The sequence below is a fragment of the Homo sapiens genome, chromosome 4 (assembly GCF_000001405.40).
Source record: "Homo sapiens chromosome 4, GRCh38.p14 Primary Assembly".
In the NCBI taxonomy this organism is placed as follows: domain Eukaryota; kingdom Metazoa; phylum Chordata; class Mammalia; order Primates; family Hominidae; genus Homo; species Homo sapiens.
Genome location: NC_000004.12, coordinates 41,256,829 through 41,268,788, shown reverse-complemented (window position 1 = coordinate 41,268,788; position 11,960 = coordinate 41,256,829). Strand labels below are relative to the sequence as shown.

At 44.1% G+C, this 11,960-nt stretch overlaps 1 protein-coding gene across 1 annotated transcript, besides 3 other annotated features; it reads right to left on the bottom strand.

Moving 5' to 3' along the window:
• On the bottom strand, positions 334 to 11,861 carry UCHL1 (ubiquitin C-terminal hydrolase L1). The gene is made up of 9 exons (NM_004181.5): positions 11,780 to 11,861; positions 11,663 to 11,674; positions 11,052 to 11,180; positions 7,992 to 8,142; positions 6,989 to 7,074; positions 6,866 to 6,913; positions 5,498 to 5,564; positions 4,628 to 4,686; positions 334 to 802 (listed from the first exon to the last, which is right to left on the bottom strand). Exons 1-9 carry the CDS (start codon positions 11,810 to 11,812, stop codon positions 716 to 718), a joined length of 672 nt encoding a protein of 223 aa, NP_004172.2. The 5' UTR covers positions 11,813 to 11,861; the 3' UTR covers positions 334 to 715.
• Positions 10,651 to 11,151: an enhancer, noted in NCBI's record as "H3K4me1 hESC enhancer chr4:41259655-41260155 (GRCh37/hg19 assembly coordinates)". NCBI's record gives its function as "activates a minimal SCP1, AML or CMV promoter by ChIP-STARR-seq in naive H9 embryonic stem cells {active_cell/tissue: H9 hESC(naive)}" and the evidence as "EXISTENCE:reporter gene assay evidence [ECO:0000049][PMID:30033119]".
• Positions 10,651 to 11,745: a biological region, named in NCBI's record as "H3K4me1 hESC enhancer GRCh37_chr4:41259655-41260155".
• Positions 10,986 to 11,745: a silencer, noted in NCBI's record as "silent region_15388". NCBI's record gives its function as "represses an Ori minimal core promoter by ATAC-STARR-seq in GM12878 lymphoblastoid cells {active_cell/tissue: GM12878}" and the evidence as "EXISTENCE:reporter gene assay evidence [ECO:0000049][PMID:35858748]".

The window sequence follows — 11,960 nt, the reverse complement described above, 5'->3', positions numbered from 1 at the left end:
TATATCCTATTAGTTCTGTCCTCTAGAAAACCCCGCTTAATACAATAGAGGAAACTGGGTGGTGGGTTTATGGGACTTCTACAATGTCCAGTATTTTCTTTTTGTCTTCAATATTTTTATAAGTCTAAAATTGTGCTACAAAATTTGCCTATTTAAAAATCTTTAAAAATTAGTTTCTACAGGTATACATAGGGAATACAAATGCAAAAAAAAATCCAAAGACACATCAAACCAATGCTTTTATGGTAATTCTTGGCAGCACTGTATGAGTTACTTATGTGGAAGACATTCATATATTACTACCAAAATAACCTGACATATTGAGGAGAGGGTAAAAGAAAATGAGAATCAGCTGTGGCTATCTTATCAGCAGAAAAGTTTTATTCCTTTTGAGGACAAACAATTAAACCACATCCAAGGTCTTAACTTACAGACAGAAACCAAAGTAGCCATTTAAAGCGTTAGATATCGGATACAAGACATACACTGGGGAGAATGCTTCACCATCTGAAGCTCACACCACAATGGCCCAGTGGACAGCTGTGCACTCTGCTTGTGCTTAAGTGCCTGGGTGTGGCTGAGGGGAAGGCGTGTCTGCAGAACAGAAGAACAGCTGTGTTTCACAAGTACTGAAGCATTTTAGACTGCATGGGGGGGTATATATTTTCATGTTGAAGGGAAGAGGGGAAATCAGCAAAGTCCCTCCCACAGAGCATTAGGCTGCCTTGCAGAGAGCCACGGCAGAGAAGCGGACTTCTCCTTGCTCACGCTCGGTGAATTCTCTGCAGACCTTGGCAGCGTCCTGGAAAGGAGAAATGTCATTAAAATCCAAACAGCAAGAGCTCAAAATGAAAGTCACATAGGGAAAGGCTCCAAGGTCTATTAATGCTCAAAGTTCACCCTCATCAACTTTAATTCCATCATTAATTTGAAAACCAGGGCTTAAAGCAAAAAATCAGGTGATGGGAAAGACAAGGTTACATCATGGATTTGACTTATCACTTCCACCAAATGGTTTTGTGCTTCTCTCACTTTGTACCTGGTTTTGGAAAAGTTAAAAAAAACAAAAACAAAAAAACCCAACAACAAAAACACAACTATGAACGTTATTTTCCTCAAATCTAAAGATTGGAAATTGATCTTTCTTCCATAAGGTGGCATAAGTGAAAAGTTGTAACTCAGAAATTCCTGGAATAAAGAAAATTGTCTTTCAAATAAACATTTTAAAAAACAGCCTTAACGTGGCCGGGCGCAGTGGCTCACGCCTGTAATCCCAGCACTTTGGGAGGCTGAGGCAGGCGGATCACGAGGCTGGGAGATAGAGACCATCCTGGCCAACATGGTGAAACCACGTCTCTACTAAAAATACAAAAAAAATTAGCCGGGCATGATGGCGGGCATCTGCAGTCACAGCTACTCTGAGAGGCTAAGGCAGGAGAATGGCGTGAACCCAGGAGGCGGAGCTTGCAGTGAGGCGAGATCGCGCCACTACACTCCAGCCTGGGCGACAGAGCGAGACTCCGTCTCAGAAAACAAACAAACAAACAAAAAAAAAAACAGCCTTAACGTTTACCTGATATTCTAGGTACAGACAAGCATGGAACCTTAGAGATTGATGGTGAAGTGACATGCGTTACTACTTCTAAGATCTAGATGACAAAGACTGGTAACAGGAAACTGATCCCAGTGTTATTTACCAACTTCTAGGATATAATTGTTTTGGGATCAAAAATATTACTCTGTTCAATCTGTAAAAAAGCCCAGTGGAAAGATAGCTCTGTAAACCATAGTATAAGACCCTGAAGGAGAAAAGGAATGCTCTATGATACAGAATGGTAATGAAACATCACTCCTAAAATTTAGAAATCACCAACTCAATGAGTTTGGGCCAGACACAGCTCAGGCCTGCAATCTCAGCACTTTGGGAAGCTGAGGCAGCGGATGACTTGAGCTCAGGAGTTCAAGACCAGCCTGGGCAAAATCTCTACTAAAAATTTAAAAATTAGCTGGGCATGGTGGTGTGCGCTTCTAGTCCTGGCTACTCAGAAGACTTAGGTGGGAGGATTGCTTGAGCAAGGACTTCAAGGCTACAGTAAGCCATGATTGCACCACTGCACTCCAGCCTGAATGACACAGCGAGACCCTTTCTCAAAAAAAGCAACCAAAGAGTATCTGGATTGACATCAACATTTTATCCTCTACCAAGTTTTTTAATATATCAGTATTCCAGACCTGTCTTCCCTGAATTGACCTTACTATAGGACATACAATATTGATTTCACTATTAAAGATGTACCTTTAAAGAGAATAACCATCTTCTATAGAGCTAACGTGCAGGGACCTAATTCATTCAAGCTTAAGATATTTGGGTTAAGTGCATGTATATTCTAACCAGTTTAATAATTTAGTGTGACATTTAGACAACCTAAAACATCCTTAACCATATAGAACCAGCCTTACTTAGGGTAAGAATTTTAACTAAAATGCTGGTTTAATTTAGAAACTCTTTTAATTTTAAATAAGGTTCTAATTAGAAAAGTTAAAAAAAAAAAAAAAAAAAAAGTTTTAGCCAGGTACTGTGGCTCACGCCTATAATCCCAGCACTCTGGGAAGCTGAGGCAGGAAGATCACTTGAGCCCAAGAGTTAAAGACCAGCCTGGGCAACATAGTGAGTCCCTCCCCGCCCCATCTCTATACAAAAATTTTACCTTCCCCACACCTTATAAATTCTACTCATGTGACACTTGTATCCTATGTGGGACACATTTTTATGGTATTAGTGCAGTGTTAGATGAGTTAGCATGTACCTTAAAAGCTTTACTAGGAAGGACCAGGGTCTCTTTCCTCCAAATGGATCAAAGACCAGAAATTCTGCCTGTTTTCTTATTCTCACCAAGTAAATTCTGACTCTCATGAAACCCTTCCATCCCATCCTGGCTCTCCAGGTCTATTCTTCATTCCATATTACTATTCCCACATACCTCTTGAATACCAAGAATTAGCTTTAACTGATCTCAGGTGTGTCTGACAGATGAGAGAAATCAACCTTCCCTATTAAGAGTGGCATAATGTGGTCCACTAGCATCTTAGGGCTATCAGGTCTGTGAAGTTCCAAAGAGAGGTCTTTTCTAAAGAAAGGTCATATTGGTATTGTACAATGGCTAAGAACACAGACTCTAGATGCGGACTAACTTTTCTTTTTTTTCTTCTGAGACAGAGTCTTGCTCTGTTGCCCAGACTGGAGTACAGTGGTGCAATCTCGGCTCACTGCAACCTCCACCTCCCAGGTAACAAGTGATTCTTGTGCCTCAGCCTCCCAAGCAGCTGGGACTACAGGAATGCACCACCAGGTCTGGCTAATTTTTATATTTTTAGTAGAGATGGGGTTTCACCATTTTGCCCAGGCTGGTCTTGAACTCCTGAGCTCAAGCAATCCTCCCGCGTCAGCCTCCCAAGTGCTGGGATTATAGGCATGAGCCACTGCACCTTGCCAGACTATCTAGGTTTGAATCACAGTTTGCCATGTAAGTCCTTGACCTCAGGCCTTAAACTCTTGAGTTTTGTCAGCTCTGAGATGGGGATAATACCTACCTCACTGTGTCATTAAAGGATTTCTATAAAAGACGTAGATCACCTAGAACAGCACCTAAGAAGAGGGGTCAGTAAACTGCAGCATGTGGGCCCAACCCAGCCTGTGCTGGTGGAAAACAGCTACATACATTCATTTAGAGAGTGTCTATGGGCTGCTGAGTTGTAACAGCAGAACTGAATACTTGCAACAGAGCCATATGCCATACAAAGCCTAAAATATTTTGTTTGGCTCTTTATAGAAAATGCTTGCTGAGTCCTGGTCTGCACACAGTAAGTTCTGCAAAGATTTTATACTATTACTACTCAAATTAAGTATAGTTATATCTTAATAGCAGTTTGTATATTTTTCTTCAGCACAGCAAGCTAAAAACAGTATTTTGTGTATCATAATTAAGCAATTTTCCTTTATAATAGCAAATTGATTCAACTCTAGAGGCTCATTTTTTAGTGAAGAGGCCTAGGGTCGTCTACCAACCTTTGCCCAGAATCACTTTTCTGTCCAGGATGGTTACAAAGTGATCCTGGATATTAACAGTTTTTGTCAGGTGGATTTTAAATCTGCTTATTTTGTTCTTGTAACAGTAGACCATGTGGGAAGGAAAAACTCCTAAATTTAACCACCTAACTAGAATCTATAGTACACTACCTCCAAGACTGACCCAAATCCCGTTGTCTTAGAGGGATTATGAAAGGCTGCTGTTTTGTGAGTCTTTAGCTATGATGTAATCTGATGGGAGGACAATGGTCACCTTAATCCCACCAGGAAGCAAAGCAACAGCTTTCAGGCTAATTCTAACTGTGGACTAAAGACAACACATGAAACAGATTACTCAGGGTGTCTCTGAAGCCCTGTTTAAAACCACTTGCAATAAAATAAGGTAGATAGAGTTACTAAGAGGATCTTGCAGCCCTAAAGACTGCTATTAACCCAGGCAACTGATGCTGGCTATACTGGAAGAGTGTTAGCACTTTAGAATAGAAAATTTAGCCAAAGAATTGTGAGGCACATTAAGAAGAGATGCATTCCAAAGATGACCTTCAGCAGGGTGTCCTCTGAACTGGCGCCATGGTTCACCGGAAAAGGCATTCGTCCATCTGTAACAAAGAAGCCAGGCATGTCAATTTTCTCTGCATGTTTTCTGGCTACCGTGCTTACCTAGCCTAGATGGAAGTTTTAGATTCTTCCAAAAACCACTGCCAAACCCACAGAAGGAAGCCTGGTTATGAAGCAAGAGGCTGCAAATGAGGTTCAAGTGTCCCTAGGCATCCATCCCAGGCAATTCTAGTCTACAATTGACAAGATCGCACAAGCTCAAGTCAGCTACCCTAATAGAGGGGCCTGTGCCCCAACCCTTGGAAAGGGCCACAGAACAAAAGTCAGATGCAGTCTCTGGGGATAGGGAAGATGGAGGCGAGAGGAGGAGACGCCTGAGATTTTATCTGCCCTCCAATGACTGTAGATTGCCTTCACTATTCCTTTGCCTTTGTAAGCCTGTAGGTCGTATCTTGGCTTGAGACAAGAGTTACAAGTCTTTCTCCATTAATACAAAAGGAATGAATCTTACAAGGTGGGTCGTCTTTCTTGATGCCATAAACTAGTTAATAGAAGTTATTCCAACATGTTCAGATTCTTTTTAGACAAGTAAGGTCATATTCAGGCACTGATCCTTTTTCAGACGTACTCTTTGCCCAGAAAGGATGATACTAGGGGATGCTAGTCAGTTGCCTGAGGAAGTTGCTCTGGGGATGATAAGGGGTTAAGTGCCCTCATGAGAATACTTTGTTATTGTGGCTTTATAAACAATGATATGCCAAGTGCCATAAAGTCACACAATATATCAAGAGAAATTCAGTCTGAAAGAACACATGAAACTACACTGGGTTCCAAAAATGGAGTAAAACATACCAAGTTCATAGAGGTGGCCATCCACGTTGTTAAACAGAATAAAATGGAAATTCACCTTGTCATCTACCTAAAGAAAGTCAAGAAATTTTTGAAAATGAGTGTAAGCTGTATTTTAAAAATTATCTTGCAATTCAAGTGAAATGTGCTTGAACTGACTTGATTTTTAGAAATTATAGCTAATATTTAATGTATGTCTTACATTAAGCCCTATTCTAAGCCCACTAAGGTAAATATACTGTTAACTGTCAGAACAACTCTATGAGGATGCTATTACTACAGGATTTTTACTGAGGAGAAAATTGAGGCTTAGAGAGGCTAACTATCTCAACCAAGGTCAATGCTAGAAAGTGGCAGCCAGTTGTAGTTATAAAGACACTGAGATCTGGCTAGGCACGGTGGCTCACACCTGCAATACTAGCACTTTGGGAGGCTGAGGCAGGCAGATCACTTGAGCTCACAAGAGTTCAAGACCAGCCTGAACAACATGGTGAAACCCCATCTCTACAAAAAATATAAAAATTAGTAGGTGTGGTGGTGTGTACTTGTAATCCCAGCTACTCGGGAGGCTGAGATGAGAGAATTGCTGCAGTGAGCCAAGATCACACCACTGCATTCCAGCCTGGGAAATGGAGGCTGACCTTGTCAACTTTTTTTTTTTTTTAAAAAGGACACTGAGATCTGACTTAAATTTAGCAGCTGACTCAGAGGTTCTCATCAGATTATGGTATATTCAAGCCTTCTAGAACTTGTCCTTCGTTGGGCATTTCATTCTCCCCAACAGCCTGTGAAGATTATTTGAAATGCTCACTTACTAGGAGAGGTGTACACTCTATAAGACTCATTTGTTTCTGTTATTGAGACAGGGTCACCCAGACCGGAGTGCAGCGACATGGTCTCAGCTCACTGCAACCTCTGCCTCTAGGGCTCAAGCAATTCTCCCACCTCAGCCTCCCAAGTGGCTGGGACTACAGACCTCGCTACTCTGTATTTTTTGTAGGGACGGGGTTTCACTATGTTGGCCAAGCTGGTCTCAAACTCCTGGGCTCAAGTGATTCACCCTCCTCGGCCTCCCAAATTGTTGGGATTACAGGCATGAGCCACTATGCCTGACCTATAAGACTCATTTGGATCTAAACAAAATACTGTCAATTTGAATTTACTCAAGACTTCAATGACCAATACAATTTCTGAAGAAAACTTTTTTTATGAACAGGTCTAGTCAAAGCATTATTTGGGTAGAACTTTCTGGTGTCATTTGGCCTTGGGTGGATAACATTTGCTGTGTTCCAGTAAGAGATTCCTGCACAATTTCAGTAGAAACACAGATGGCACCCAGGCAGCCTGGCTCCGATTTGTATTTGCATTTACCCGACATTGGCCTTCCTGTGCCACGGCATCATGGGCTGCCTGTATGGCCTGCGGAAAAAAGAAAATAATTAGCACAAAAATCTCTAGAGTTATTTAAAGGCCATGCTCTGTAAGTTCTCTTACCTCATTCTTTTCAAAGCATTTTGCTCTGTCTTCAGGGGACATTTTCTCTGTTTCAGAAAGAAACTGTTTCAGAACTGATCCATCCTCTTAAAAAAAAAATGGATGTGTTAGTATAGGTAAAATAATACAAGTGGGTACATATTTATTGTTGACTTAAGCCTTTGCTGAACATGCTGAGCAACCTGAATCTTTAATACTGCCTCCAGGGTTGTGGATGAGCTGTACCTTTTCCCCTAGCCTCTTTTTCTAACCCCTCTCTATTCACTGCTTTCAGGCCAGAGAGGTCTCTCCGCTCTCCCAATATGCCAAGCTCTTTCTTGCCTCTGTTCCCTTCTACCCTGGACCCCTTTTTCCCTCCCACCTCACTCATCTCTCAAATCTCCTGTCACTTTTTCACAGCAATTCTTAATTTGTAAAACATATTTGAGATTTCTAGCACCATAAAAGCCGGGGCTGCCTTGTTTACCTGCTGTATCTACAGCATCTAAGAATGTACAGTTAACATCTATTATATACATGACGCTATAATCATGTTCTAATAAAAATGCTTCCCAAACCAAGATTATGGGGTAGAAAATTCAACTTTAGTAATTCGGTTATTCAGATAGAAAAATAAAGATCTTGAATAGAAATGTAAAGAAACAAAATAGTCCAGCATAGAGACATCTGACTGGCTAACCACTGACATAGGCTTATCCACACTGAGCATTAACAAAATGCTTAAGAGACACTAATTACAAACCTATAGCAATAACAATGTATATTTCAAAAGACCTCAATATGAACTTTCAGCTCTAAAATTTGTGAAATGGGACCATTTCAAAATTTGGAAGTGCTAGGAATCCTTTCTGAGGAGGACTGTGAGTCAGATTAAGTGTCTGACACCATCATTACAAAATGGTTTCAAAAGGTACAGCATCTCTGACCTCGGGAAAACAGCTGTTTCTGAACTCCATGTTTCAAGTTCAAGCTTAGGATGGCTGGCCTCAAAACCCACACCTACCAAATCCCAGTTTGTCTTGATTATTGGCCACTGCGTGAATAAGTCCGATTGTGCCACAGGAATTCCCAATGGTCTGCTTCATGAAGTACACTTTAGGACTAACTTCTTGTCCCTTCAGCTCTTCAATCTGCTTTTTCCTGAAGTTCTCATGCTGCGAATGTAAAAAGCGTTTTTACATCTCAGAATGAAAGTGCAAAGAACAGATGGCAGCACATGAGTTCTACCAACTAAATGGAAACACCAGTGGGATGTGTGACCAGAACCCCTGGTTCTAGATGTTGGCTGACTCCCAGAGAAGGGCCCGTCTGTCTGCCTCCCACACCACCCACGCCAGCCAGTGGGGCTCTGAGAGGTTCGGAGACTCCACCCTGGTGCTGCAGTGCAGTGACTGCCTTGGATACTGCCCAAGGCTGTGTCTAGACACCACTGCAACCTTTCAGCCCAAAATGGTGTCACGAAGTCAGAAAACAAAGAAACCAATTCATTATTTTCTCCCTTTAACACTTAACAACTATTTCACATAGGCATCCTAAATCAAGCTTCAGTCAATTGAATGCCCAACAAGAGCACCAGCTGGTTTACATTTCATTATTCTTTAAAGTTCTACTTCTACTCGGCTTAAGTACACTTCGCTTCAAAAACAAAAACGGCCTTAACTGCTGAAAAGAACAAGTGAAAGAAATTAACCATTACCTCCGCCCTCTTTTTAAGGAAAAGACAACTGATCCAGGGTATTGGGCTGTGATTTTACAAGAGGAAGATGTGACACTAGCTTGTCCTTGCCAGCTAAACAGTTTACTTTGAGGACAGACTGGCAATTTGAGGAGGAGGATAGAGACTGGTAAATGAATCGGACTAGGAAACGGATTTCCTCAAAGCATCTGCTAGCTTTCTGTATAGTAATTTAGTAAGCCTATCTGGACTTTTCACTAACTAGCTTTAAAGACCTTAGAAGTTATGATTTCTTGAGCCAGGGTCAGTGGCTTGCACCTATAATCCCAGCTACTAGGGAGGCTGAGGCAGGAGGATCACTTGAGCTCAGAAGTTTGAGACCTTGTCTCTAAAAAATAAAAATATAATAAATAAGTTAGGACTTCCCAGTTAAAGAGTAGGGTACTAACACTATAGAAACACTGATTTCCCATAACGAGCAAAACCAGACAGACCATCAGAAACCTATTTCCAATTCTAGTAGCTTTGCATTTCTGTACATGAACTGAAGTTTAAGCTTGCTCTCTGGTACTAATAGAAGAGTAAGATCTCTTACCCCAGAAGATCAACTTAAACTCCAACTAGCAGAACTTTTTCGCTTCTATCTAACTGGATCCTCAACTTAGTATTCATTGACCAGTAAGTGTTTTTCATTTTCTAGGCTAATTAGATGAAATGTTAAAATGGGATAGCACCATCCTTTAGGGCTGCTTGAGCTCTTCCATGGAAATCATTCTGTAAATAGTCTACTAGCACTTAATGTTTCAGAAGTGGTCCATGTAGGGGGTCATAACATTCCCTTAGTCAAAAATTAAATGCCTTCCAAATTAACATTAGCATCTTTGGAGTCAACCTATAAAACCTCAACTTTTCTTTCAATCGGCTTCAGTGTTTTGTCCAGTAGGCATTCTGTGTAGCAGAATAGGCGCTCGATAAATCTGATAGGTTGAATTGAAACTAAAGGACAAAGTATCGAGCTCTTTCAAACATAACACAAACTAGAATGTTCTCTAAACAAGATTCAGCAAAAGGAGAACAGTCAGCTTTTAAAGGCAAACATGCTGCACCACTGCCTCCCAGAGGCCTTGCCTCTGAATGCTGCTCAAAACCTCCGAGTCATCATGGTTGCTCTAATAAAAAACCTCTGTGTGATGCTCAACTGGAGACAGGAGACTGATTTGGTCAACCAGGAAGCTAATTCGACTTCCAACAATTTGGCATCTTCCTTTTAGCCCAAGTAAAAGACTTTAGCAATAAAAACATGTCAGTGAGATCATCTTATTAGCTGTAAATAAGTGTTTTTACCCACAATACTTAGCTTACTTACTAGGAGGAAGGCTTGGAACTTCCCATACTCTTGATTTTGGCTACAGATGCTTCCAGAACACCTAGCCTTAGGACGGTGCTTCAGTTAACCTCACTCTTTAGAGTGATGCCCCAAGTTTTGCTAAAGCTAATTTCAGTCACTCCCACATCAGCGGTCAAGTGACAGCAATAGGAGATAAGACAATGCCATGCGCTAATGACTGGGATTCCATACATCACAAGACTGCAAATATCCTAGCTATCCTTTAAAAAAAAAAATCTGACGCTGTCTTTCAGATACATCTATCCATGCACACTTGTAGGAGGAAAATCATTTCAAGGGAAATGCAAAGGTGCTTTCAAAACTGAGCTAATAACCCCCTATTTCAGTTAGCTACAAGGTCAGAGATGAACAAGGATAAGTGAAGAGGAAGGAGGTTCCCACACAGAAACCATACACAAAATGATTAAGCTTTAAGAAATACATTCAAGAGGCTAAAAACCAAGTGTGCAAGTGGTGGGAGTGGAGAAGAGAGAAGAACCCCTTAAGACCATCAGAAACCCAAGTAATGGAGGCGGAGAATTAGCGAACCTAATTGTTTCCCTGCGATTTAGGTCAGCCCTTCCCCCTCCATTCTACAGCTAGGTGGGAGTCTGAGAAGCAAACAATGAGTTGACAGGTTATAGCCCTTAAAGGGAAACCAGCAGCCATTCCCCGGAACCGGAGGCTCGAAAAAGCCCAAGTTCGAGGGAACTCATGAGTAGGATGAATGATTTCCCTGGATAACGGGATAGATGGAACTGAGATACTGCCTCTCTTCCAAATTTAAGGCAATTGTGGACGGATGGGCAAGAAGGCGACAGGCACCGCTGGAACAGGAGCCCAGGGAGTAGGTACCACGAAAATGCAGGCTCCTCCCTTCCTTGTAGGCGCGCCCCGCATCACCTACAGGGGAGGGGGCGGGGCGGGGAGCCCCCGAGGACTCAAGCTGGGGAGCGGCGTGCACTGCCGGCGGCCGGCGCATCCTGGGCCCCACGCCCTACCTGGGCCGTGAGGGGAAACAGCAGCAGCAGCGCGCAGGCAGGCGCTGGCACCGAGCCCAGAGACTCCTCTTCCAGCCCCAGCACGTCCACGAAGCGCCACTGGCCGGCGACCCCCAGCCGGGACAGCACCTGCGGAGAGGAGACAAGGCGGCCAGGCGCACGGGGACACGCGGGTCGCGGGCACCTGCCAGGGGGCGGGGCCAGGAGGCGCGCGCCCTCCGCGCCCGCACCCGAGCCTGGGAGGAGCCCCAGTCCCGCCCTGCCACCCCCACCCGGGCCGGCGCAATGACACAGCACAAAGCGCGGCCCACACGTGGCGCCCGCGAAGCCCGTGCAGCCGAGTCTGTGCTGCCCGCGCCACGCCCTCGGGAGCTCCGCCTGGCGCTCGCTCGCCACGGGGCGCAGCCCCCTCCGTCTCCCCGTGACCGGTTTCGTAGAGTCACCCGCTAAATGCAGGGGCCCAGGAAAGGCGCCCAGCCCACGCCCCAGCCCGGCCGTCTCCGGTGCTCGCAGCGGGCGGCTTGGTCCCTGCCAGCAGCCGGAACCGGTGGGCGCCCCCGCCTCGGCGCTCGCGGGGGAGGGGGCCAGAGACGGCGCGAGACGCCACTCACTTTGTTCAGCATCTGAAAGGCAAATGCAAAGAAAAAGGCAAAACCGAACCGATCAGCGACTCGGCTCCCCCTCCCTCGGCCTCGCGCTCTCCGGGTAGCGGTGCACCTGGCGCTCACCTCGGGGTTGATCTCCATCGGCTTGAGCTGCATCTTCGCGGAGCGCCCGGCAGAAATAGCCTAGGGAAGACGAAAAACAGCTAGCGGAGCCGCCCAGGCTGCAGCTATAAAGCGCCGGCCAGACGCACTGTGAGGCCTGTGCAGGGGGAGCAGGGGCAGAACCAAGCGAGGGGGAAACGGA